Raw genomic sequence first — 24032 nt, 5'->3', positions numbered from 1 at the left:
TGTGTCCCTCCTCCATAGTTACCTTGTTTTGACCCCTAGAGCCAGGGCTCACCATTGCACTGGTACCTTGGGGTCATTCCAGAATGGCAGACTATGTGTAAATGGAGGGTACAGGTTAGAGGATGAGCTTAGGGATTTGAGGTGCAGCTAGTGGGGCAGTGGGGAGGTGAGGGTGGACTCTGACCTTCCAGGCACTGTAGGCAGGCAAGGGGAGTGAGCTGCAGAGCCAGGCAGGAAGGGCGTATGGGTGGGAGCACAGCTCTGAAATGCTTTGCATAGTTTGCATTTTGCTTCTGGCAGAATGAACAATGGTTAGTCAAGTCCTGAACTCCCCAGGGGAAGCCTCCAGCCTGGTTTCTGCCACCGCTACCACCTCTGTTTTGAGGATTCAGGCACTGCCCCGTCTCAGAGGCACATTTGTGTCTAACTTTGGGAGATCGATAGCAAACCCTGCCACCTAGTGGCAGGCCGACTCACTTGGCAGGCACGACAAGTAGGTTGAAGAGATCTTAAAATTATCTACTGTAATGGCAAAGATAGCTTTATTTGAATGACAACTATTTCAAATCCTCACAGCAATTTTCTAAGTGGTTCTTACTATCCCCATTTTGTAATAAGGAAGGTGAGACTTAGAGGGCCTGGATGATACTTGCCTGAGGTCATATAGCTAAAGTGATTAAATGAGTTGAGTTTTAAAACAATTAGAACAGTTTCTCAAACCTTACAGAGCACTAGAATCTCCTGGAGGGCTTGTTAAGACACTGATGCCTGGGCACCATCCCCAGAGTTTCTGATTAGGTAGGTCTGAGGTGGGGCTGATAACCAGCATTTTAAAAATATATCTTATTTTTAATTGACAATAATTATATGTATGGGGTAGATGTGATGTTTTAATATATGTATACATTATGAAATGATTACATCAAACCAATTGACATTCATCACCTTACCTGCTTATCCTTTTTGGTGGTAAGAACATTTAATATCTACTTTTAGTAATTTTGAAATATACATTATTATTAACCATTGTCACCATGCTGTGCAGTAGGTCACCAGAACTTATTCCTCCTAACTGAAACTTTGCATCCTTTGACCAACAGCTCTTCTTCCATCTCTCCTCTCCCTCCCAAAACCTCTGGTAACTACCTCTCTACTCTGTTCTTCTATGAGTTTGACCTTTTTAGATCCCACATATAAGTGAGGTCATACACGGTATTTGTCTTTCCATGCCTGGCTTATTTCATTAATGTGCATTTCTAACAAGTCCCCAGGTGGTGCTGATGCTGGTGGCACACAGGCCACACTTTGAGTAGTGTTGGCTTGGAACAATGTCTGGCACAATATCAGCACCAAATAAATGTTAGATAAAATTGATAGGTGAAGGCAGAGTCAGAATTGACCTCAAGCCTGTCTGACTCTAAAACTTGTTCTCTTTTTACAACATCATGCTGCCTCTCAGGCTTAGTAAAATTCCATACTTTGTCCCTTGCTTAATTTTTTTTCCTTCTCAGAAAATAAGTTGGAGGCTGGGTGCGGTGGCTCATGCCTGTAATCCCAGCACTTTGGTAGGCTGAGGGGGGCAGATCACTTGAGGCCAGGAGTTCAAGACCAGCCTGGCCAACATGGTGAAACCCCGTCTCTACTAAAAATACAAAAATTAGCCAGGCGTGGTGGTGCACACCTATAGTCCCAGCTACTCAGGAGGCTGAGGCAGGAGAATCCCTTGAACTCGGGAGGCGGAGGTTGCAGTGAGCCAAGATTGCACCGCTGCACTCCAGCCTGGGCAAAACAGCGAGACTCCAGAAGAAAATAAGATGGCGGCCAGGCATGGTGGCTCACTCCTGTAATCCCAACACTTTGGGAGGCCGAGGCGGTCAGATCACAAGGTCAGGAGATCGAGACCATCCTGGCTAACACAGTGAAACCCTGTCTCTACTAAAAATACAAAAAATTAGCCGGGTGTGGTGGCACACGCCTGTAGTCCCAGCTACTCAGGAGGCTGAGGCAGGAGAATCACTTGAACCCAGGAGGCGAAGGTTGCAGTGAGCAGAGATTGCACCACTGCACTCCAGCCTGGGCAAAAGAGCAAGACTCTGTCTCAAAAAAGAAAAAAAAGAGAGAAAAAAAAAAGAAAGAAAATAAGATGGCTAGTTGGTGTTAGTTTTTGAAGTCATATCCAGTTTTGTGTGCTGGAGTGTTTATTGAAGGGCTAATTACGCACAGGACTTTCTTAGACTGTGGACAATACCACGGTGTGAAACACAGTTCCTGTCTTTCAAGAATTTTTCACCTTGGCCTGGGAAAACATGTCTTGGAAGTATGAAAAGATCACATCAATATAGGACCTTGGAAAAGTTACAGGCAGTGTGATGACGAGGTCAAACAGAGTTGGATCACTGAGGGCTGTGGCACTACAGAAGGTCCACGTGGGGGAAGGCATGAGCCAGCATCCTAGAGAATGAGTAAGACTTGGGTAAATAGAGCAAGGGGAGACCATCCAGGCAGGGGGAGGGAAGAACAGTGTTATAAGAGTAAGAAGGGCAGGAAGGGTACACACGTTAGTGAAGGACCTTCTGTGTATCAGATGTGGGGGTTGCATTTCCTAACCTGTCTCATTGATTCCTCAGAAGAGCCTTATGAGGCAGGTAATACTATCCTCCTGTTACAAGTAAGGAAACGGAAGGTCAGAGCAGTCAGGTGAGCTGCCTAGGGTCACAAAGCCAGCAAGTGTCAAGCTTGGCTTCAAACCCAGGTTAGACTCCTTTTTCCTTTTTCCGTTGCAAGATGTTGCTAAGGTGTGGAGGAGGCTGGGACGGGACTAGGGTGAGGCTGTCAGGCACCAGCAGGTGTAGGGGTGACCCTGAGATGGAGTACTTCCTTCAGTTTTGGGCCCTAGGCATTTGGCGTGGCCCGTAGGAAGAGCAGTGAGAAAACAGCAGGCCTGCAAGGTGGGTGTTGAGGTCAGCTGCTAGCGAGCTGTGAGTACCAGGCTGAGGAGTTTAGACTTTATTTCAGAAGGGACAAGGAGCCATGGAAGTTTTTGCAGCAAGGAACTGATATGATCAGAGCACTTGACTGTGGACAAAGTGGAAACCCATTAGGAGCATCTCAGAGTTGTCTGGAGGGAGATAATTAATCAGTATCTGGACTAGAAGAGTCCAGAAAAAAGAGAACTGATGCCAACCACTTCCTTTATGAACCTCTGGAACTTGGTGCTAAGGATACCAGGCAGAGAGAAAATCTTGGTAACTTGGAGAATTGTGAGGCCTTTCCTATAAATATGCATAGCCATTGAAAGAGCTGACTGCTGGCAGCGGAGAGAGAAGGAAAAGCCAGGTTTAATCACATTGCACTCCAAGTGATGGGCATGGGGTAGCCAAGTTGTCCTGGCAGAGGAAGTTGACAGAGAAAAATGGTTTTGGAGTCGTCTGCCAAAAGGGGAAGTGACTGAAGTCCTGGATGTCGGCCTTGATCATTCTTTTGAGGTTCTTACAGGACTGTCCCACATGCCCAGCTTTGTGGGTTTACTTAGATATGTTCCCCAAAGCCTGCAGAACCCTCGCTTGGTTGCCTGACCCGTTCTTACCCTTTCTCCTCAGTCTTCCCTTGGACCAGACGCTTCCTCGCCAGGGTCCTGGCCAATCCCTGTCCTTCCCAGAAAACTACCAGACTCTTCCCAAGAGCACCCGACACCCCTCGGGGGGCTCCTCGCCACCTCCCCGAAACCTGCCAAGTGACTACAAGTATGCGCAGGACCGAGCCAGCCACCTGAAGATGTCGAGTGAAGAGCGCCGGGCGCACCGGGATGGCACCGTGTGGCAGCTCTACGAGTGGCAGCAGCGCCAGCAGTTCCGGCACGGCAGCCCCACAGCGCCCATCTGCCTTGGCTCCCCAGAGTTCACCGACCAGGGCCGGAGCAGGAGCATGCTAGAGGTGCCCCGCTCCATCTCTGTGCCTCCATCTCCCTCGGACATCCCTCCCCCAGGACCCCCAAGGGTCTTCCCACCCCGGCGGCCACACACACCAGCAGAGCGAGTCACAGTGAAGCCACCGGACCAGAGGAGGAGTGTGGACATCTCGCTGGGGGATTCTCCAAGGAGGGCACGGGGCCACGCTGTCAAGGTGAGGCTCGGGAAGCTCTGCCAGGCTGCTGGGTCATCATGAGGGCGCCAGGAGCTTTGCCTGGTTTGAACACAAATTTGAGTAATTTGGGATAATAATGATAGCTAATACTTAGGCAGTACATTTTAATAATAGATGCCAGGCACAGTTCCCAAGGGCTTCGCTTTAAATTCTCACCACAACCCTGTGAGGTAGGTGCTATGTTTATGCCCATTTCAAAGATGAGAACTCTGAGGCGCTGAGAGACAAAGTAACTTGCACAGGGTCACACAACTACAAGTCAGCTTCCTTGCATCTTGAAAGGCAGGAAAAGACATCTGTGTCCAGTCAGTTAAATTATAACAATCCAGCTTAAGTTTTCACTTTCCAAGAGGCTTTCACAGTTTAGTGTTCTAACCCTGAGAGTAAGATGTGTGTGCTCATTTCATAGATGAGAAGTCTGGGGCTCAGAGGGGACATGGCATGGGGCGGCTTCCCTGGGAGTGAGTGGCAGAGGTTTGGGCTCCAGTGTGACTTCTTGTCTCCCCACTTGCAGAACTCATCTCATGTGGACCGACGCTCCATGCCCTCCATGGGTTACATGACCCACACCGTCAGCGCTCCCAGTTTACATGGAAAATCGGTAGGGTGAATGACAAGACATAGCCTGCAAAGCCCTATCTCATCAACATTTTCCTTCCTCTGAGTTAGTACAATGCAGTCCAGAGGGCAGCTATTAACCCCCATATTAGAGATGAGGAAACTGAGGCTCAGAGAAGTTGAATGACTTGCTTAGGGTCACCTGGCTGTCACTGGGTCCCCAGTGAAGGGGAAGAGCGTATCAGGGAAATGTAGGGGAATATTAGGCTTATCTCCTCTTTCAAGATGAATTTTGCCAGAAACATTTTTCAGCTACCCACCTTTTTCCACAGGCAGTGCCTCTCCTTTCTTCCCTGATCTTTGATTAGTTAACTAGTTAACTCAATCTTCAAAGCTCGAGTCTGAGACCAGGTGTGGTTGTTCATACTTGTAATCCTACCACTTTGGGAGGCCGAGGTGGGTGGATCATTTGAGGCCAGGAGTTCAAGACCAGCCTAGCAAACATGGCGAAACCCCGTCTCTACTAAAAATACAAAAACTATCTGGGTGTGGTGGTACACTCCTGTGATCCCAGCTATTCGGAAGGCTGAGATACGAGAACTCAGGAGGTGGAGTTTGCAGTGAGCCGAGATCACGCTGCTGCACTCCAGCCTGGGTGACAAAGCAAGACTGTCTCAAAGCAGAAGAAAAAAAAAGCTTGAGTCTGGGTGAGGTTGCACTGTTGGTTGTTGCTTTCCTGAAAAAAACTTCCTGAAGCCCTTTTACTGCCAGTGCCTTTATTTGTCCTAATGACAGAATTGACACAGTAATTGCTTAACGGTGTCACATCAGTGCTGTCCTGGCACTGACACCGGGGTGAAGAGCGTAATTCTAGCAGTGTGCTCCTGCGGTGCTAACTTCCTTGTGCTGTGTCTACACATCTGCAGCTGGAGGAGCTCTCGTTGCTTCTCACCCGGTTAAGGCGGCACCAGGCCAAGTTGGCCAGTGTGCGAAATTTCGCCATCAGCCAGTTACTGCAGCACCAGCTGACCTTTCCCACCTGCCAGGTCAGCACTGGTGGGCTCCTCTCAGGGCCGGGGGCAGGGAGTGACATGCTGGCTCGCGTTCGCTCGTGCCCATGCTCTGGTCTGTCTGTGCTTTCTGGCTCTCGCGTGTTCGCTGCCTGTTTGCTTCTGGATGCTACTGCCAGACACTCTGTGGTGGTGGAAGCTGAGCCTACCCTTCTGGCACTGGGGAGGGGGGCTGCATGTGGTGTAGGGGCCCTAAACTGTCGCTTCTCTGGCTGTAAGTAGTGACTGCCAGGCTGGTGTATGGTCATGTTCAAAGGGCTGTGCTGGCTGACAGCCTTGTTGCCCCCGTGGCCACTGCTTGGGATGTGGAAAGGCACATATGCGTCAGCCTGGAGGGAGATGCAGGGCGCCCTCTCTTATCTGGATGGTGCCCTGCTGCCTCACAGAGTGTCTTCTCATCTCATATCTTGCTGAACCTCACAGTAAGCTGGAAGAGGTTAGGTAGGAGAGGAGTAAGGATCACACACAAGGCAAGTGGAACCAGAAGGGGAAGTGACTTGCTCAGGATCCCTCAGCTAGAAGCATGCAGGCTGCAGCCAAAATCCAAGGCCTGCATGACACAATGTTCTAAACTGTTGCAAGAACGTTGGGCTTTGCAGGCAAGCTTCTCAAGGACTGGCTAGGGGGCTGCCCTCCCGGGTATCTTGAGCAGAAGGATTAAAGAAAAGGATCCCTCCCTGGGGTTGTCCTCAGGCAAAAATAGGTTCAGCCAACGAGGCTGGTCCTCCAGGCTGTACAGAGGTAGGCAGGGGACAGATGAGGAAGGTGACAGGACTGTTACCTTCCTTCCTTGTTCTGTTTTAGTGAGTTTTGAGAGATTTAGGAAATGTATTCAGAAAAATGAATGTCAGTGAAAAACTATCATCAGTTGTGAATCTAAGTGATCTTGAATAACCTTCTTCTGTTCTGTCTTACTCCTATGGCAAGTGTGTAGGGACTGAGCTGTTTGGGAAGTATAGATGGGTAAGAAGTTAGTTTAGGGACACAAGACCTTGCAAGCCACTAGTGCCCCTGACAGTTGTCCTTCAGGCATTCCCATGCATAAGAGCCCTGCCTCAACTCTTCGTGTGGTTTGTCTGTGTGACTGTCTTACCTCAGAGCTGTAAGCAAAGGCCACCTGCCTCGGCCCTAGCTTGCTTGGCTGTGACCCTCTTAGTCTGCTGAGAAGATGGTGCCTGGATTATTTTTCTTTCACAGCTTTCACAGCTCCTCTGCCTCACAGTTAGCTTCTGTGATCTGCTACACGGGAAAGCATGAGTTTTGGGAAATCAAAGAGTCTTTTTCTTATTTTCACTGTTTCTGGTAATTATACTGAAGAACTTGATAGATTGTCAGAGATGCCACAAGCAGATAGGTCTGACCTTGCACCTGCCTCAGGTAGCTCCTGACATGGCTACATTGGCTCCATGGTGAGCAAAAAGAACCAAACTTGCAGGAAATTTCCAGCAGTTGCTGGTGGTTATCATTCTGGAAACCAAGGTCGTATTGGGACCTCCTGGGTCACCCAGGCCATCTCCCTGCCTCTTCAAGGCATCCACCCACACCAGTGAGCTTCATCTTCATGCATGTGAAGTGATCCAGACCAAAGGTTTGATGGATGGAATTGGAGTGATGATGACTGATGCGCTCTAGCTCAGGTGTGGCATATGCTCCTCCAGGTGGACCTCCCAGGTCTATCTTGGGAGCACAGCACTGCCTCAGCTACCCTAGCCCTGGGGTAGGATCCTCCCTGCCAAACTCTTCCCCTAGCCAGTGGGGGACAAGCTGACTTTCCCCACAGTGACCTGCAAGATCCGCCCTGCTGAAAGACGGCTCTCAGCTGCACCGAGACATTTGTGCTTCCTCTGTGGCCCCTGATGTGTTGGTCTGCTGTGGTTCCTTGTTCCCAAAGCTGCACGATGTAAATAATTCACATGTGAAACCTCGAGTTATGGAAACTCTTGGTGTTCATAACTGTGTTTTTTCCTCTCTGCTTCATTTGAAGGCTGATGATACCTACCTCCAGCTGAAGAAAGACCTGGAGTACCTGGATCTAAAGGTAAGTGACATCAGGGTTCCTGCCTTCCTTGCATACTCACCTTTCTGAGAGTGTCACCTCACTGGAGCCAAGCCCAAAGCCAAAGGCCAGACAGGTCTTATCCAATCTGAATTCTAAATCAATATGTCTCCCATCTTGAATCAGAAGAACTTTATTTCTTACAGACTAAAACTCTGCCTTTTTTCAGTTTCTTGTGAATTTTGTTGTGAGGTCCCTGGCTTACAGAATGAGGGCTTGAGACCTTGATCTCTTCCTTCTCTTGGTCAGAACAAAAAGGTCCCTCCAAAAGCAACCAGTCGCTTCTTCGGAGTCTCCAGTGGGGGCAGGGGTGTATGTTTGGTTCACTAATGTGGGTTTTCAGCCACAAGTGGTGTGGTGGGTTCTTTGGTTCTGTTGCTAGGGGAGCAGGCTCCACATGGAATCGCATGGCTTTGAGGCTCACCGGTAGTCTCCCATCTCGGTTTAGGAGGTGAAGGCTGGGCCCCTCCCTGTAGGTGATAAGGCTTCAGGCTCTAAATTAGCTTTCTCAGCACAGAGAGAGCCAAGAAAGCTCCTGTAGAGAAGGCAGGAGGCATTCTGCCTGGAAGAGAGGCCTATTGTTCCCTGCCCACAGTCCTCTGAAAGCTCCTACTGTGAAAAGCACTTCTTACGCCTGAGCCATGAAATAGACTGGAGGAATGTGACCTTTAGTCAGCTGTGGGTCTGAAAAGGTGGGTGAGGGGCCATGGGACACTCAGGTGACTGCCACGAGGGGTGGCGTGCCTCCCTACAGTCTCCAGTGTACCTGGCTTGGGATATTTTTAACTTGGGGATCTTCATCCAGCCTCATAGAAGCAGGTGTATGAACATCAGGTCCTAAGGAAGAAGATGGAAAGGGGGTCTCCCCACAATGAAAGGAGATCAGGGCTTTTGATTAGAAATCAACCAGTGCAATTCTGTGTCTGTTGAACACTTGCTGTGTTACCCAGATGACATGGGGAGATGCAGAAAAAAATTTGAGTCTGTCTGGTCTTGAGATACTTCCAGATAGTCTTGGGTTGGTGAAAGAAATTATCCCCAAATAACAGACTCCTCTACAATGACTAGACAAAGATCTGTTTGGCCTGGTTCTCAGAGCTGAGATGGTGAGAATCTCTGTGGGTTACAACACTGGAGAGGCTTCTGGGAGGAGGTGGCATGTGTTTGAAGCTTTGAAGAGCCAGGGGTGCTGGGGCTGGTTGAGATTTAAAGGGAAGGATCAGTGAGAGCCAAGGAGAGCCAGGGCACAGTGGTTGTGGCCAGGGCAGCAGAGGGGAGGTGGCACTAGGTCATGCAGGCTGTTGACTCTATCCTAGGCTTTAGGAAGGAAGGTGGATGCTATGAGCAAAAAGACCTGGCTTTAGCATGTGAGGAGAACAAGGAGCTTTCTCTCAAGGCCAGGACTGTCTAACTCACTTGACAGTCAGGTCACACAGAGCTTGAGTGACTGCTCTAAGTATGGTGGTAATTCCTCAGGATTCAAAATGCTCAAGCATAGCTGTATGGACCAAATGTGGCAGCCCAGCCCATCCTCCTGCAGCCTGTGGGGACAGACAGGGTTGTTCCCACCATGCCTATGGAGAGAGATCCAGCAGCCCCCAGCCTCCACCTGCCCTGCGCAGCACCATATCCCCGTTCCTCAGCCTCCCTGACAGCCAGTCAGCAGCTGCCTGCATAGTTCTTGTCACCCCTGACCCAGGGCCCAACAGTCCACTCAGACATACCTGTAGAGCATCCATAGTGCACCTGGGCCTATGGGAGAGGCCTGGCATGCCAGCAGCACAGGTGAGTATAAAACACAGGTATACCAGAGTGTTTAGTGCACGGGGCCAGAGGGAACTAAATGCACCTGAGCAAGAGCAGTGAGAAATAGCTGCCTTCTGGTTCCTGTTTGTATGTGACAGTGGAAACTCACAGTTGGTCCTGGAGTGATGCTTGGCCTCAGGTTTGTTTTATTTCAAGATCATAGAATTTGAGCTATGCGGGATTAAAGAGGGAGAAACTGAGCCACAGAATGGCACAGCAGAACTAAGAGTCCCTGAGTGTCGACTCCAACAGAAGCTTAATAACAATAGGGGGTTATAATGTGTGCCAGTCACTGCATTTTACTTCTATTAAGTTATTTTACCTCCAAAGTGGCCCTGTAAGGGAAGTGGTGGTATCATCTTTTAATGGACCGTGACTCCGAAAGGCTAATGAGTTTCCCAAGCCTACACAGCAGCTAGCGGGTGTCAGTATTTGGGTGCGGCTCTCACCCTAAAGCCCTTCATCACCTTGCCCCACATCCTCTCTTAAAATGGTGCTCTACCACTGTGTACCCAAAGGCCTTATGTTTTTGTGGAGCTGAGCTTGGATTGTTATGCCAAGAAATATATTTGATGGGATAGAGAGAGGCAAGTTACATCCTTGGTGTGTTTTACTACCTAAGAGCTGCACATGATTAGAACGTTATCTAGTTATTGGACTTTCTGGAAGTTGTCATTGTTTGTCATGGAAAACAACTGTGTTGATACCAGTATTCCCCTGGTCTTATAGCTGCTACCCCGGTTGCTAAGTTCCTCTCCAGGAACCAGCTGAACTGCACCAGCAGCCTGGAAGAGGCTTGGCTCACCAGCAGCCACATGCGAGAAACAAGCTGGGTTTTGTGCCAAGTGTGTGTCATCAGTCTGACATGGCTGCCAGAAAGGCTGGCACCCCCCGGCTTCCCTCAGAGGGGCAGGCCCAGATCAGGAGGCAGTAGGCCTGCTCTGCCCTGCTCAGACTCAGCTTGGGTTTAGGGTTCCAAGATGAGAGTCCCACTTCAAGATCCAGATGAAGGAAGGGCTGGAATCAGGGGAGAGGTATTGACGGCTTGCAGAACCACTGGGTGTGTTAGGTGGGATGCTTTTGTTTGTAAGTATCTAAAACCCAAAGCAACATGCTAAGTCGAAAAGGGAATATACTAATTCGTGTAGCCAGGGGCCCCATTCCCGGGGCTCAGCCACATTGTCACTCTTCTACTTTCCGTGTGTGTCAGACTTCTTCTTTCCTGTGGAACAAGGGCTGCCTCCACACGGGCAGGGAAGGTGGCTGCCTGCAAGCCCAGATTCACTTCTTCCCTACTCAGTATTCCATGCAGTGAGGAGTTCCCTAATGGGACACACTGGGTGGAGAAAGGAAGCACAACAGCAGCTGGTACAGCTACAGTGCGGAATGATTGAAGGAGTTAGGGGCGATTCAGGAGAGGCATAGAGACAGCCTGTAAAACTCTGGTATGTCTCCATGTGTTTTCTGTGGCCCTAAGGAGGAATTAAGACACGTGGATGGCAGCTACAAGTAGATAGGTTGCAGCTTAGTAGAAGAAAGACTTTTCTAAAAGGGCCACCTCAGGTGGTGGTGGACTTCCCGTCACTAGGGTACAACTGAGGCTCAATGAAACTGAGTGGGATGAATGGTTGGATTAGGAAAACCCCAAGGCTTATTGGTCCTTAGATTCTATGACATGCTGGACAAAATGTCCCTGAGTCAGGGGTCTCTCTGGACATGGTTGAATAGGCCTGTAGACCATTCTGGGCATGGAAATGGAGATAAGCACAGCCCCTCTGGGACCAGCTGCTTATGAGAGGTCCCCCCTGGTTCCTTGGAGGGGGGTGAGGTAAGGATATAAGCCTCTCTGGAGAGGAGTCTCCCTGCTTGGCATCTGATCTGCTGACCTCTCCCCTCCATGTGCCACGTTGACTTGGTGTCCCCCATGTCCCTGTTCGAGAGGCCAAGGACTTAAGGATCCAGAGCCCATCTTCCCCTGCCCCCCAATCAGCTGATGCTCAGCTTCCAGAATCAGGGGTGCTTGTGGGCCCACGTTGAGAAGCTTTACCTTCCTGAAGTGAGCGTTCCTGCTGGGGTGCCAAGTAATCATACAACGGGACACTCTGCTCTTGGGACCCACTTACATTAGTGTGCTTTTTTGGAAATGTTTACTTTGCTGGCATTTTACTTGATGGTGCCAGGGTGAAAAGGACTCACATTGATTAAGCATCTGTTCCTGCCTTGGCAGTATTTGGGCACTTGATGTTCATTTATCTCATTGAATCCTCTCAGCAACTTGAGCAATATGAATTATTATCCCTTTTTTATAACCAGGAACCCAGGTGTCAGAGAAATAAAGTAACTTCTGCAAAGTTACACTGCTGGGACATGTACGCAGCAACTGACTTCACACCTGCCTTCTTTCGTCCATGCATCACACGCTTTGCCCACTCTAAAGTCGTGTTCGTTGAATTGTATTCTTGGCATTGAAGTTCTGCTCTTCAGAACCCTATACCTTAGCTGAGTCAGAAGGGTGGGGTGTGGGGTTCACTGTTGTTGACACTTTAAGTTGTCTTTATGCTGCGGTGAAGCACAGCCAGGAAGATGAGGGTACCTGCTGTCACTCGTGGAGCCTTTGTAGATAGAAAAGGTTGCAGTCAGCCCCAAAAAGGCTTTTGTCTTCAGTGAGGGATGTGCCGTCAGTGGCTTCGGGGTTACTGGAATCTGGACTCTTCCTGACTGTTTGAACCTGAGATCAGGACTTTTCTGTTCAGGCTGTTTCCAAAATCAGCTTCTGGGACAGTTTTTAAAGTTGTAATTGGGGATGCCGCATACTTCAGAATCACCTGGGAGCTTGATAAAAGCACAGACCTGGAGGGTTCTATTGAATTGGACACTCTGCTGCCCAGAATTCTGCATTTTTGTCAAGCTCTGGGGTGATTCTTGTGCACACTAGGGTTTGAGGTCTATTGTTCTGGAGAAGAAATTATTAACCCTGGCTATGAACGAGAACTGTTGGGGAGTTTTAAAAATGAATATAAATGTCTGGGTCCTACCCCTTAGAGACTGTGATTTAATTGGTAATATTCAGGTATTACTACTTAATTAAAACAAACAAACTCCTTAGGTGTTTTTAATGCACATCCAGCATTGAGAAACATGGTTTTGAAGTAGCGGCTCTCAAAATGTGATCCTCAGACCGAAAGTGTCAGTATCTGGGAATTCATTAGAAACGCAAAATCTTGGGTCCCACCCCAGATCTGCACCACAAGAACCTCCAGGGATGGGGCCCAGCAAATCTGTGTATTTGCCCTCTGGCTGATTCTGATGCATGCTAAAGTTTGAGAGCCCCTGTTTTAGGGCAGTGCTTCTCAATCCTGGCTGCATATTCGAATCACTCAGGAGAGTGTTTAAGAATCCCAATGCCCAGGCCCCATCCCAGACCAATTATATCAGAATCACTTGGGGTGGAACTCAGGCATCGGTACTTTTTAAAGCTCCCCCAGTGATTCCAGTGTTCAGCAAGGGCTGAGATCCACTGTCCTAGGTAATGAGGACAATGTTGCCAAAAAGGAGCTATAAGCATTTGGGACCATGGGTAAGACATAATCATGTAGATGCACCACAGTTCTGGTGGAACTTAAGGTTGAGTGGGGGTGAGATGAATGCATGGCACGACTCTAAACTAGTATCTTACAGAATGTGATGAGGGAGGACAAAAGAAGAAGCAAGTTCCCTTCTATCATGTTCCTCCTTGCCTTCTGCCGCAGAACCAGGAAGGAAATGAACACTGAAATTGCACTCCCACAAAAACCAGCCTGTGCAAAAGTCCCTTCAGACAGCATATAACATTTTATAAAAAGGAGAGAGCTGCAGTCTGGGAAGGTCCCATGGCCCATGGGAGGAGCATCCACGGTCCCATGGAAGTAGCATCACCAAGATTCAGGCCTGGTTGTTTGAATTGCATAGCACACAGCCTCCTTAAAGTTTTCCCTTTGCCAGTTCCCCAAATTCTGGCTGCTTCAAGTGTCATTTGATGTCTCACCTGTTACGTTTTGTTGTATCTGCCTTTTTGTTTGGAACAGATTAAAAATAATGAACCTTTGATCAACGTGCTTTACAAAGTGCTGAAGAAGTCAGCACGGGGCTGTCGGCCCAGGAGAAGCGTAAGATGATCTGATCCGTGTCTCCAAGCGGGGTCATTCCATTGCTTCTGGCTCGGTGCCGACTTCATCACTTGCTTAACCAGTTGCTCTCCTGACCGCCCCAGGCTTCCCGCAAGTCATTTTGGTTTATTTTCTTTCAACTGAAGCTCTCTTCAGCATTTTGGCTGATGCACCAGGCTGAGCCTCTCATCTGCAGTTTTCTGTGACTCCATGTTTTGTGCTGCCAAGGGTGGGGGAGCTTGCCTGGCTTGCCACCAGCTTGTGTTGTGTTTCCATCATCACGTGTCTGCCTCCATGGCGAGGGCTCACCCAGACAGAGTTGAGCATGAGTTTCTTGGGAGGGAACAGCAGTTATTGGTCATCTTCCAAGAGCCAGGGTATCCTCAGATGCCACGGTGGCCCTGAGATTAAGGTGGCACTTTTTGGGGGCAGGCAGTTGGTATTTGGATAACAGCCTGGAGCTGGACTAGAATAAAATGCCACCCCCTGCCCATACCCTCTTTGATTGATGCAGAAGTAGGGACTGCAATGTGGCCAGCTCTCACAGCATTCCAGGGGAGGATGCAGATCGAGAAGCAGGTGTTGTGTCCAACCATCGTGAGCCCTGAGAAAGTGGGTTGGGATGTGGTGGAGGGGAGGGAAGATGCCTGGGTGGCCTTTGATTCCCCTCTGATGGAGAGACTCTTTCAAATGGATGAGCACCCACAGACTTTTACTTTTTCTGATGACAGAGATGCTGGGGGGACCCAGAGTTGATGTTTTAAGTGTATTTGAACATGGCTATAACAAACACACTTTTAAAAGGAAAATTAGATGTAATACGCTACACGTGGATATAATATTTCTTAGCAGCCTCGGCTGTCTGGAGCAGAGCTACATTCAGAAGCTTAACGGTCCTCTGAGCTGTAGAAACAGCTCTCATCAAGCCCATGCTCTAAAGCCTGTGACCTTTCGTCCATAGGAGACAGAGTCAGCTCACATTACTTTGATACATTCATGAACTCACTGAGCAAACATTGCCCGAATTTCTTCAATATGCTAGGCCCTGGCTGGGCTTTGAGGATACAGAGGAAAGGCATCCATCTCCACAGTCACCCCTAATTAGGTTACTCTCTAGTGAGGAGAGACAAATGAGCAAACGGAACATTGTACTCTAATGTGCTGGGTGCTGTAGTAGCAGCAGATGCAACGTGTGGAAAGAGCACCCTGAAGGGCATCACCCCCAGTTAAAGGGAGAGAAGAGATGTAAGTACCTCGTGTCAGTCGAGCTTATAGTCCTTTGAATTCCTAACCTACAACACCTAGTAAGCAGCAGTTTTTTTTGTTTTTGTTTTTGTTTTTTTTTTTTTTTTTTGACATGGAGTCTCGCTCTGTCACCCAGGCTGGAGTGCAGTGGCGCAATCTCAACTCACTGCAACCTCTGCCTCCCAGGTTCAAGAGATTCTCCTGCCTCAACCTCCCGAGTAGCTGGGACTACAGGTGCGCGGCACTGTGCCTGGCTAATTTTTGTATTTTTAGTAGAGATGGGGTTTCACCATGTTGGCCAGACTGATCTTGAACTCCTGACCTCATAATTCACCCGCCTTGGCCTCCCAAAGTGCTGGGATTACAGGTGTGAGCCACCGTGCCTGGCAAGATAAGCAGCACTTTAAAAAGGGACAAGAGAAATCTACTTCTTAGAAAAAGAGGTAGTACTAATATCCTGAGAGAGAGAAAAAAAAGGTTGAATGTATATTCAGTATTCCATGAAGGCAGCAAAGGGCATACTTTTAGAAAGCTTTCCATCAAAAAGTATAATTTAGAGGATTCAGCTTCTTCTCAAAATGTCCTTTTTATATAAAATATCTCATTCTTTTCCTGATGGTGCTGGATAAATGAGGCATTGCTCAATTAGATTTTCTGGCTTGTTATTTAAGTATCAAAAAGACATCCTCTGTAAAAAGCTTCAGTGAAATAAGGGGAAGAGTTTTGCTGGGGGAAAGAATCCCCAGAGTGTATCTCCATTTGAAAATGATTTCTACCTAGAAAATGAGCCCCAAAGGTCAGCCGGTTTGGAGAATAGACAACCTCCTTGTTCTTGGCTTTGATGAAAGGACGATGGCATAGAGCGAAGACTTCACTGCTTTCACCTGCTTTTTCTCCTGGGTTCCCCTGAGTTTAAAACCCACATTCTGCCTGAGAAGTTCAGCTGTTTGTGATTCACCAGGATTAACTTCATGCCCACCTCCCCACACCTCCCTGCACCGCCCCCCCCGCATTGCAGGAGACAGCACAGTCTGTTTGTTTGTGGATTGTTGCAGTCTTGTGTTCTGCAACTGTGTGTATACGTGTATGTACACATAATCTGACAGTCTGAAGAGCAGAATTTGGCTGGAGTTCTATTTTTTCCGGGAACTCAACAACACTGACCTACATGTGTTTCCCTTTGACCTACATGCAATGCAATTCAATAAGCATTTGCTGAGTTTGTGCCAGGTCTTCTGTTCAGGGCTGACTTTACCAAGATAAAACAATGGTTCCGTCCTCTTCTGTGTGACCAAAGGGATCGTGGGAATGGGTGGGGCATGTGTGTAGCCCAGAATCAGTCCTCACTCCAAGGCAGGGAGAGGTCCTCTCCCTTGACCTTTGGATTTGCTCATGACAGTTTGCAGGGAGAGGTAGCATAGGACAGTTGGGCACATGAAGGGCTTGAGCACTGAGTGGAATGTTTGCCAATTTATTTCCACCCCCAATCCACACTGACAAACTTCCTGGACCTTACAGATAGAATGGGGAGAAATCTACACCTCTCTCTCCAGCAGCTATCGGTCCACATTGGGACCTCTCTGCATAGCACACACACACCACCTGTCTCTGCCACTGTTAGCTCCACCCTCCATTTTCCTGGTCAGATCTGCAAAATAGAGCTCAGTGAGGTGGTTTCCCCTACATTAGGCAAAATAGACTTGGTTCTCCCTGGCCTTATCTTGGCCATGGGAGGGTGCATCTGTGAAAGTCACTCCCCTCAGCCCCTGCATGACTTTTGGCAAGAAAGAAATTGGGGGAAATGGAAAAATGGGATAAGTAAGATTTAGATTCTCAGGAGTCAGTGAGAGACAGGCAGCATATTGCCTACTTTGAGTCAAGTGAGGGATGGGAAATGTAAAATCCCATTGGCCCGCAAGTTTGGGTGACTTTTGTATATTGCTTTATGGTTTCCTTTCTTGTAACTTACACAAGTACAGCCTAGCCTCAGTTATTCAGGGAACAATTAAAAACCCTTGCTGGGAACTAGCCAGGTTCCTTTTTACCTTGGCCAGGTCTTCTTCCCAAATGGTAAAGGGTAAGGAAGGCTGGCCTTACCCACGGGGAAGTGGGCTGCTCAGAGACTTCATTAAACTAAGGCTTGACAATGGTCAAGGGATTTGTTTGTTCCTCTGGGTCTGCCCATCTCACCACCCTGGGCAGGGGGTGATGGGCTTCGTAACTTGTGTTTGTTCCCACGTTCAGTAGTACACCTCTGTCTTATCGGTGGCAAATCTTCCAAGATTCATGCTGATTTTTCACATTCATTTTAGGCAAATATATACTTTTAAAATTGATGATCCTTTAACTTGAACATCTACATTTTCTTTAACTCAAAGGACTTACCAGCATTACTAGAATCATCAAAAGGTTTTGGTTTTTTCCTAAAATGAAATAGGCATAGAAATAGCGAAGTATGGCCCAAGTTTTTGTCCCTCTCATACTATGACCCTACCTGCCACTGCCAAGGACTTCCACACCATCCATTATAGGATGAATTTTCTTTCCTGAGTTCTGATCTCAAACACCATGGTTAAATCTCTTTTAAATTGTTCGCCTCCCAGATGACAGGCCGGGACCTTCTCAAGGATCGAAGTCTGAAGCCTGTGAAGATCGCTGAGAGCGACACTGACGTGAGTGAGCAGAGTGACACGCTGACCCCTCAGCTGCCTCCTGACCCAGACCCCGGGTGAACAGCTTCAGGCAGGGCTTGGATGGTTCTGTAGCCAAAGGCTGTCTGATTGCAATCCCAAGGTCATGTCCTTTTCTCATCACCCCAGGCCCTCTCCACCTGTTCTTGCTTTTAGGTCAAACTGAGCATCTTCTGTGAACAAGACAGGGTCCTCCAGGACTTGGAAGACAAGATACGAGCCCTTAAAGAGAACAAAGTACGTGTCAGTTTTGAATAATCTTGGAATGGGCAGAGGGACATTTTGTCCTGTCTTTCTTGAGACATAGGCTGGACCCTCATGTTAGTATTGAAGAGCAGATGTTAGCTTATTTAAAAAAAAATGCACCAGGTGCGGTGGCTCATGCCTGTAATCTCAGCACTTTGGAAGGCCAAGGCAGGTGGATCATGAGGTCAGGAGTTCGAGACCAGCCTGACCAACATGGTGAAACCCTGTCTCCACTAAAAATACAAAAATTAGCTGGGCATGGTGGTGGGCACCTGTAATCCCAGCTACTCAGGAGGCTGAGGCAGAAGAATTGCTTGAACCCGGGAGGCAGAGGTTGCAGTGAGCCGAGATCACGCCACTGTATTCCAGCCTAGGCAACAGAGGAAGACTTCGTCTCAGGAGGAAAAAAAAAAAAGCCTTTGTGTTTAAATGGTGTTTCTTAGGGGTTTCTATCTTATAGAGACCCTCCTGCCCCCATTCTGCTTTGGCTTACCTCTCCGTGGAGGCCCTGTGAGGTGAGCCTGGGAGAGGAGCTCCACTGGCTTATATGTGATGACCCCAGGTCCCTGAACCCCAGGGAAGCAGGGTTCCTTTGGAGGAAGTGGCTGTAGTCATTACAGGGCAGAGGCCTTTGCTTCCTAAAGCTCCTTGTCTCCTAGGATCTGGGCTATGGAGGCAGCAAGTCTGGATGGGAGTGCCGGAATGGGCCAGGGGCCACCAACATTTGGCCTTTTCTATTCTTAAAGTATTTTTTTCCTTTTGCATTTTAAATTCGTGATGCTGGAGGTTGACAATATACTCTTTTCCCTAGGAGGCTAAAGAGGTTTTTGTTTTTTGTTTTTTTAATTCTTTGATTTATCCTCTTAGCTTAGTTTATTCTCTTAGTTTATCCCATAAGGAGTTAGACAGCTGTATCCCTAGTTTATAGATGACAAAATTGAGGCACAGAGCTGTTAGGTACTTTCCCCAGCCTACTCCCTAGACAGAGTCAGAGCTGGCATCAGAGCCCCGACTGTGGGCCCACATCTCAGCGCTGATCCCTTCGGCCTTGGTTAGGTCCAGTAGCTTTGGTTCCTGGTGTGGTATGGGGAGGCCTCTGGGGACTGTCCTCCTATCCTGCTGTTTTTTGGCCCTTCGTGGTGCAGGACCAGCTAGAATCTGTGCTGGAGGTGTTGCACAGACAGATGGAGCAGTACCGAGACCAGCCCCAGCACTTGGAGAAGATTGCCTACCAGCAGAAGTTGCTGCAGGAGGACCTTGTCCATATCCGAGCTGAGCTCTCCAGAGAGTCCACTGTGCGTAGAGGGTGGCAGACCTGTCTCCCTCAGGACGGGCTGAGCAAGGGGCTGCTTTTCTCCCCTCCCAAGATGTAGTTGAGTTGGTGTCCAGAGGCAAGAGTCCTGAAATAGCAGAGCTTCTCCAGTAGCAGAACTGCCACCTGACAGTAGATAACCTTGTCTGGGGGTGACATGTCTGCCTGCACGTGTGCCTTAGGCTGCTTACCACAGCGACTCTTGAAGGCCAGTGACACCCAGTGGGCCAGATTCTTCAGAGCTGCCTGCAAGGCTGTTCCCCTGATCTGTGTGCAGTTAATTCCAAGTTGTCAGAATCTGCTTTTTCACTTTTCAGTCTGTTGTGGTACAGGCCAGGGCTGAGAATCAAAGCATCCTGAGGGTGGAAGAGTGAACAGTGCAGGTGACCAGGGTCAGAGCACAAATGAGAGGATGCCACGCTCTTTCCTGCTCCTCTCTCTCTCCCACCAGGCCTGCCCGGTCTCCTTCCCTCTTCCCCTGGCTGGGTCAGCATGGTCAGGAGTACAGGTGTTCGTGAGGCCTTCCAAGGGGGCAGGGGATAACTAAGAACCGGAAGCATTGTCTTGGCCAACAGGAGATGGAAAATGCTTGGAACGAATACCTGAAGTTGGAGAATGATGTGGAACAGCTGAAGCAGACCCTGCAGGAGCAACACAGAAGAGCCTTTTTTTTCCAGGTGACCTGATACCTGTCCATCTCTTCTGAGCTCTTGTTTTTTGTTTTTTGTTTTTTGTTTTTCCAAGAGACTTCACCTGTGGGGGTTGTGAGCACTGCTCAGAGTCCTTCTCCCCCTCAGCCCCAGATGCTCCACCCCTGTAAAGGAGCCACCCCAAGCTCTCCCTTGAGGATCCCTTCCCCAAGCCAGGCTGTGATGAGAAGCTTCACCCCATTCCCCTTGCCTTGCTGCTCTCAAAGACAAGCTCTTGGGTGTTTTAGAAAGGGCTTTACTTCTGATCATTTGGTGTCATCAGTAATCACAGAGTGATCCATGTTCCTGTAGTTCTTGGCCCCATCTTAGGCTGCTAGCTCATCACTTAGACAGCAGCAGGAAGTGCCCACCCCTTCCCTCCTCTGATTCCTGGAGATAGATGTTATCACACCTCTACCAGAGGGAGACAGTGTGAATTCTGTCCTTTGAGGCACTCTGGTCTCCAGGCAGTCATCTGCATTTCTGGAGGCCAGGCTGGGTGATGCCCATCTCTGTGACCCCTATACCACTCAGGAAAGTTGGCCTTAGAGCCCTGCCACTTCACCCTTAAAAAATCAGGCCACCCTATTGATAGCTGCCTCTGTCCCCCAGAAGTGAGACAGTGAAAGGCCCTGTGTGGTTTTTCTTCTTCCAAATTGGGTTCCAAATTGCCCAGTGTTCCCCCACTGTGGTGCTTAACCAGGTTTCCACCCCACCCTCACAATTTTTTAAGTGGAAAATAACCTGTTTTTTTCTCCCCTGACTTAAGATCTATATCTTCTCCTTTCAGGGCCCTGACATAATAAGTGTGTTTGAATTCAGCAAGCATTAATTGAGGCTTCTTGTGTATGAGGCACCTTGCTGGGCCACTTTTGGTGCTGGGCTTGCTAACTGATAAGATAGTTCTAACCAAGGCTCTTTGTTTAAGTGATTTAATGAGTATGTTGACTCTCCAGACATTAGCCTCACCCCAGAAAGTTGAAGGAAATTCTGGAGTAGGGTGTAGGTGTGTGGGCCCTGAGGCTTTTCCAAGGGCCCTGCTGTCCCTCTATTCATGCAGAGATGGTTCCCAGAGAGCCCTGCCTAGGACCACGTGGAGGAGACCCTCGCCTGTGGCTCAGGGCTGGTCTACAAGACTCTCCCCAGCACTTGTCTATCTCCTGCTGCTGTTGGGGTCGTTTTCCTCCCATAATTTCTCTTCATCCACACTGGCTAACATTTCACTACTCTTTTTTGTAGCCGCAGCATTTACCGTAATGACTTGAAAATACTAGGTGAATGTTGTTGACAAAGTCCTTCAATTATTTCTGGTTATGAGTTTATAAAACTGCCCAGGTTATACCTATTTTCTTGGACTTCAGTGATCTGAATTTTTTTAGCAGTAATTTTTTTTTGCTTTATTTTTAGCAGTAATTTTTTTAAGCTTTTCATTCTTTGTTCCTGTAATTACACAAATGGTACATGAATACGTGTCTTTGAAAAGACCAAAACAGTAAGAAGCAAAAACAAAAAATGATATAAAAGTTCCTCTTCCCCCTCTCCCTTTCTGCCCCTCCCATCACCCTCCCTATGTGTCATCAGTGCTATCTATTGGTGGCATTGCCTTCTAGACCATTTTCTATGCATTTTCAAAAATATGCACATGCATAGAATCATATGATTTATTCAGGAATGGGAGCAGGTAAAAGGCTTACTTGAAGAGGATCACACTTACACATTATTTGGCAACTCACTTTTTTTGTCATAACCTGATATCGTGGAAATCTTTCCAGGACAGTTAATCCAAAATTTATGCTGCCCAATAAAATATAAATTAATTAAAAGTAACTGAAATTCAAAATGTATTCCTCATTTACACCAGACTCATTCAAGTGCTCCATACCCACATGCAGCTATCGGCTACTGTCTTGGACAGCAGGGATTATAGGTTTCTATCATCTCAGAAAGGTGTATTGGGCAGCGCCAGTCTAAGGAAATTAAACTTGTTTTTCTTGACTGTTACATACTATTTCATAGTCTGGGTGTTTTCTACTTTATTTAGCCATTCCTCTTCTGATAGCATTTAATTATTTTCAGCGTTTTGCTTTTATAAATGGTGGTGTGATAAGGATTTGTGTAACTGCCTTTTCACATTGTTTACAAGTATCTGTGTAAGATAGGCTCCTAGGAGTGGACTTGCTGGGGTTGGAATGAGTATACATCTTAAAAGTTGATGGATATGCCAAACCACCTTCTAAAGGGCTGCACCTGTTTATCTTCCTACCCACAGCAAATGAAAGTACTGGACCTATTTGCTCACATCCTTGTCAGCACTTGTAATTGATCTTTTTAGTTTTACTAGTCTACTAAATGGCATCTTGCTTTAATTTGCTTTTATTTAGTTATTAGCAGGTTAAATATCTATTCGTATGATTATTGGCCATTTGTGTCTTTACTGTGCCTTATGTCATGGTGATTTAACATATAGCAGGCCTAGAATCCTTTTTTTTTTCCCCCTTCCCTCCCAAAAGCAAATAGATACACTGTGACAGGTCTTTGTCACAGACGCCCTGGAGAACTCAGCCCCATGACTTACTCTCAGATAGGCCAGCCTGGAGCCTGCATCTTGATTTCCACCTTGCCTGTGGCACTGCTCACACTTTCCCTAAGTGGCACAGTAACCTGGGAAGCTAACAAAGCCCTGCTTTGAGCAGGCACTGTGCTAGCTTCTTTGGTGTCATTCTAGGCCAGGCAGGCTGTTAGAGCCCTAGAAAAATCATCAGCACTGCAGATGCACTTGCAGCCCCATGTGCAGATTCTCAGTAACAGGGCTTAGAAATTCGCCTCCCTGTAGTCAGGTTTGGCTGCAGGAAAATAGCCTTTTCAGTCAAGGCTAAAACAGTGAGTTCAAGGCTTTGCTGAAAGCAGCACATAGGAGCCTTTCTACCCAGTGTGGTGGGAGGAGGCAGGAATGAAACTCCACCCCCTCATTTCCCCCAAAATTCCCCTCCCCTCATTATGAAGGCCCAAAATTCCATCACCGTTGGAGAAGGATAGGGACTCTCCAGCCTTTTTTATTCTCTGCTCTCTGTTCTTTTCTCACATGTGGGGGTGACAGAAAGGCATCAGGGGGGCAAGAAAGTGGCTGACAGGGGAGCTTTGCCAGGGAGCTATGGAGGAGGAAGAGGACTGCGTTTAATCCCTTTCTTTACCTGTTCTCAACACTCAGCTTGGGGACTTCAGCCCTAGAGGTCATCCTCTTACATACACATGCCCTGGGCTCGGTAATACACCTGTCTGTTTTAGGATGCTCATGCTTTGGCATGGAGCTGAGAATCAAACCCATTATTAGCTTGCCAGACCTGAGGATGTGCTTTATGTTGGAGGGGTTGAGAGAGAGAGTGAGAACTGTGAGCCCCACCTTGGGACAGGAGGCTTTGGACTTCTGTTGTCCTGGCTGTTGGAAAGTATTTGCTCAGGGAATTTTTACATGACTGGTCCTTTATTCACGTAGCATGTATGCACTGAGAACCTGCTAAGTGCCAGGCCCTGTAGGGATGGATCAATGAGCAGTATTGGGCAGGTCCATGAGGCTCATGCAGTGCAAGAACTCTTCCAGTTGAGGGGTAGCTAGGTGCCTCGAGAGGAGATGGGGTGGGAAGCCTGCCTTTATTTTAGTCCATGGGGTGGGACCAAGGCTATCTTTCCCCCATTTTAACTTAAAAGTCAAGAGAATACTACATTTGATGTTTAAACAGCCCCGTCAAGAGATGGCCGTAGTCCCTTAACCCCATCAGACCCCTCTGCACCTCTTTTAGATCCTCTTCCCATTCGATTTTGGTTGTCAGAATGCACATGATCATATAGCCTAGGTCCTTCCCCATTGTATGTAGATATGTATTTTTTTGGAGTTTATAATTTTTTTTTAATTGATATATAAAAATTGTACTCTTATTGTGCTAAAAAAATTAACAGCTTTATCATATATTTCACATGTCATAAAATTAACCCTTTCGGCTGGTCATGGTGGCTCACGCCTATAATCCCAGCACTTTGGGAGGCCAAAGCAGGAGGATCACTTGGAGCCGGGAGT

At 48.0% G+C, this 24032-nt stretch overlaps 1 protein-coding gene across 38 annotated transcripts in view, besides 2 other annotated features; it reads left to right on the top strand.

Annotated features, from left to right (window-relative positions):
* PLEKHA7 (pleckstrin homology domain containing A7) overlaps positions 1-24032 on the top strand; it is a 237118-nt gene that overhangs the window by 193493 nt on the left and 19593 nt on the right. For 16 of the 38 annotated variants that reach the window (XM_047426441.1, NM_001329630.2, XM_047426436.1 and 13 more), the window contains 7 exons: positions 3600-4122; positions 4658-4744; positions 7756-7809; positions 17627-17695; positions 17870-17950; positions 19105-19254; positions 19847-19948. In XM_047426441.1, the coding sequence (XP_047282397.1) occupies positions 3600-4122; positions 4658-4744; positions 7756-7809; positions 17627-17695; positions 17870-17950; positions 19105-19254; positions 19847-19948 (1066 nt within the window). Of the gene's footprint in view, positions 1-3599; positions 4123-4657; positions 4745-5627; positions 5748-7755; positions 7810-13697; positions 13779-17626; positions 17696-17869; positions 17951-19104; positions 19255-19846; positions 19949-24032 lie in introns of all 38 variants that reach the window. The other 22 variants (XR_007062454.1, XM_024448358.2, XM_024448370.2 and 19 more) reach the window with 3 other exon arrangements.
* Positions 5364-5864: an enhancer, noted in NCBI's record as "H3K4me1 hESC enhancer chr11:16836605-16837105 (GRCh37/hg19 assembly coordinates)". NCBI's record gives its function as "activates a minimal SCP1, AML or CMV promoter by ChIP-STARR-seq in naive H9 embryonic stem cells {active_cell/tissue: H9 hESC(naive)}" and the evidence as "EXISTENCE:reporter gene assay evidence [ECO:0000049][PMID:30033119]".
* Positions 17573-18772: an enhancer, noted in NCBI's record as "BRD4-independent group 4 enhancer chr11:16823697-16824896 (GRCh37/hg19 assembly coordinates)". NCBI's record gives its function as "activates an origin of replication core promoter dependent on BRD2, P300/CBP, MED14 and CDK7 cofactors, and independent of BRD4, by STARR-seq in HCT116 cells {active_cell/tissue: HCT116}" and the evidence as "EXISTENCE:reporter gene assay evidence [ECO:0000049][PMID:35650434]".

This window comes from Homo sapiens, chromosome 11, assembly GCF_000001405.40.
Source record: "Homo sapiens chromosome 11, GRCh38.p14 Primary Assembly".
NCBI lineage: Eukaryota > Metazoa > Chordata > Mammalia > Primates > Hominidae > Homo > Homo sapiens.
This window is presented reverse-complemented; position numbering and strand designations above follow the sequence as displayed.